Below are 3402 nucleotides of genomic sequence, written 5' to 3' on the forward strand. Positions count from 1 at the left end.
AGAAAAGTTTCTACCCTTGGGTATTTCTTTTGCCCCATATCTGTTATAGCTTTCATTAAGAACTTGTTTTTAACTTTCAAAGGAAATAGGGAAAAGTAGTGAGTAGTGGAATAAAAAGATTCTTGGCAATGTTATTTTGAAGAACAAATAATTCCATACTAAAAATTCATCAAGTTTGGCCAAATAAATAGCTGCTTTCCACTATATAGCACATTACTTCTCTTTCAATAAGGTTCTGTTGTTTTTTTTATGTCAAGGGATTTCACAGTTTAGAGAGATTAAGTAGTGAGTCCTACTTGTAATTCTTGGACAGGCCCCAAAAAGAAGTAATCTGTCTGAAGGAAAAAGAAAAGTTTTGTTTTGTTGATCCATGATTGTATTTATTTAACATTTATTTAAGGATCTATGGGCAAATGTAAACATCACTTCTCTCCTTTTGTAAGTAAATGTAATTGCACTATATCCCCTCTTATTACTTCATTCCCTATTTTTATTTGCACTCTTAGGATAAATAAACATCAAAAATATCATTTATCTCTTTGAATGTATAGAAATATAGACACCATTTTAAATACTTAGTTAGATGATATATGAAAATGGGAAAGAGAGGTTTGAAATCTTTGGCTTTAACCCATAGACATAAAAGCCAAAGTGCTTGCTATGGTTTGAATGTGTCCTCTAAAACAGGGGTGCCCAACCCCCTAGCCGTTGATGGATGCCAATCAGAGACCTACTGGAGCCAGGCCGCAGAGCAGGAGGTAAGGGGAGGCCAGAGAGCATTACCATCTGAGCTCCGCCTCCTTTCAGATCAGCAGCAACATTAGATTCTCACAGAAACACAATCCCTATTGTGAACTGAGCATGCAAAGGCTATAGGTTGCATGCTCCTTATGAGAATCTATCTAATGTCTGATGATCTGAGGTGGAACAGTTTCACTGGAAACCATCCCTTCCTCGGCCCCACCCCACCCCATCCCCACACCCTCCTCACCACTGCCCCACCTCAACCCTCGATGTTTGTGGAAAAATTATCTCCACGAAATGGGTCCCTGGTGCTAAAAAGGTTGGGGACTGCTCCTCTAAAAAGCATATTTTGGAAACTTAATCCCCAAAGCAAAAGTGTTGAAAGGCAGGACCTTTAAGAAATGATTAGGGCATGAGTGCTCTACCCTCATGAATGATTAGTGTCATTATCAAGGGACTGGGTTCATTATCCAGACAGTAGATTTGTTATAACTGTGAGTTAGACCCTCTCTTGCTCTCTCTCTTTGCCCTTCCACTGTGGGGTGATGCAGCACAAAGGCCCTCAGAAGGCCCTCAGCAGATGTGGCCCCACTTCTTGGACTTCACAGCCTCCAGAACCATAAGCCAAATACATTTCTGTTTATTCTAAATGACCCAGTCTCAGGTATTCTGTTACAGCAGTGGAAAATTGACTAAGACAGTGCTACAGTTGGAATCTGCAACACAGTAGTCAAAATGAAAGAGTTTGACTCTGAATGATTATAAGGTAAAGTGGTGGCTTCATTTTCCCACCTTTTCTCCAGTGTGAAAAGACAGAAGGAGAGATTACTCTTTGAATAAAGAAAACTATATTTTTCATGCATTTAAAAAATTTCCTAAATTCCTATAGCAATCAAACTCCAGCCACTGGTCAGGTAACCTTGGATAAATTAACTAATCTTCCTAAACTTCAGTGTTCTCATTTGTAAGTGTGAATAAAATTTATAGCTACTTCATAGGCTTATTATGAGAATACACGTGTAAAACACCTAGCCTAGTGTATTGAACAGAGTAGGTGTACAATGAAGAGGACCATTATTGTTTATTATTTCTCTTAAACCAGCTATGCGAAAGCTTATGTAGTTACCCTGAGAAACACATATGTTTGCTTATTACATAAATATTTAATGAATACCTACTATGTATCCATCACTTCCTGATGCTGGGGACATATTAGTGAACAAGACGAACAAATTCTGCCTTCACAGTGCTTATGATCTGGAAGGTAAACTGACATTAAACAATAATTACTCAAATTACCATGTATTTACTAGCATAACAAGGGCTGTGAAGGAAAAGTGCAGATGCTATAAAAATATAAATACAGTGTGTGGAAGTAAGTTTTTCTGAAAAATCAGAGAAGGCTGCCACAGGGAAATGACATTTACACTAAGATCTAAGATCAACAAGACAAATGTGTAGGGGTGGCACTGATGGAATACAGTGAAGTAATTAAAATGTGTAAATAAAACCATACAAAGGATCTCATTTTCCTGAAGACATTTTTATTTTTTGAAAATGGTAAGGGTTATTTGTAAAAATTTCTAAGGGTTCTTACAGATTGAAACTATTATAGGAGTTACTGAGTTGTTAGATTCAATATAAAAATTTTAAAAATTAATCTTACTGAACTTCAGCTTCAATGATGTAACTTACAACATGGAAATGGATAAGGTATTATTTTCTTTGGAGAGTTTTAAAAATTTGTTTATATTTTTAGGCATCATTGTGAAGTGGAAAGAGCATTGAATCACATGTCAGGAGATCTGGGTTCTATTTCTACCTGTTATTGGTTCAGTGGGAAACCATAGGCAAGGCATTTAAACCACAGTTCCCTGTTTTGTAAAAGAGGGTATTCCTTTCAACAGCCTGACTTACAGAAGCTAGGTAGAGGAGCACTGACAGCTTAGGTGACAATAGTGTGGATTGGGGTCAGACGGTTCCTGATACCTCATTCTTTCACCTAAATATTTGTTTGCTCTTCTTTTCTGGTTTTATGACAGGAAAAGGACCAGGAGTCTCGTTAAGATTGAAAGGAAAGAAAGGAAAAGATCAGTAACTTTTGTTGATGATAATGGGACAAATTAAAACCAAAATGAACAAACAACCAAAGCAAAGATGTATCATAATAAAAGCCTTAAAAATAGCCTTAAAATTGTAATCAGTTGTTATAACAACGTAGTGCAATAGCAAATTTACCAACAAATAACACCCAGAGTTTCTTCCTCATGTCAGTTAACTACTTGCAGGGTTTTCATTTGTTAGAAAGTAATATGCTAACCACTCAGATGTTTGTACTTACAACTTTTTCAATGGAAAAAGTATAAAGAATGATAAGCACTGCACATATCTTCAATGTGTAGGCCACTCTGAGCTAAATATATCATGTTATGATATTGTCAGATAATTTTATTATCACTTTGTAGGTGGGCTCCACAAAGAAAGTACTTTTCAATTGACTTAGGCAAAGAATTCATGACTAAGACCCCAAAGCAAAGGCAACAAAAACATAAATAAATAAATGGGACCTAATTAAACTTAAAAGCTTCTGCACAACAAAAGAAATAATCAGCAGAGTAAACAGAGAACCCACAGAGTGTGAGAAAATCTTTGCAACCT

The sequence above is a fragment of the Homo sapiens genome, chromosome 4, assembly GCF_000001405.40.
Source record: "Homo sapiens chromosome 4, GRCh38.p14 Primary Assembly".
NCBI classification, from domain to species: domain Eukaryota; kingdom Metazoa; phylum Chordata; class Mammalia; order Primates; family Hominidae; genus Homo; species Homo sapiens.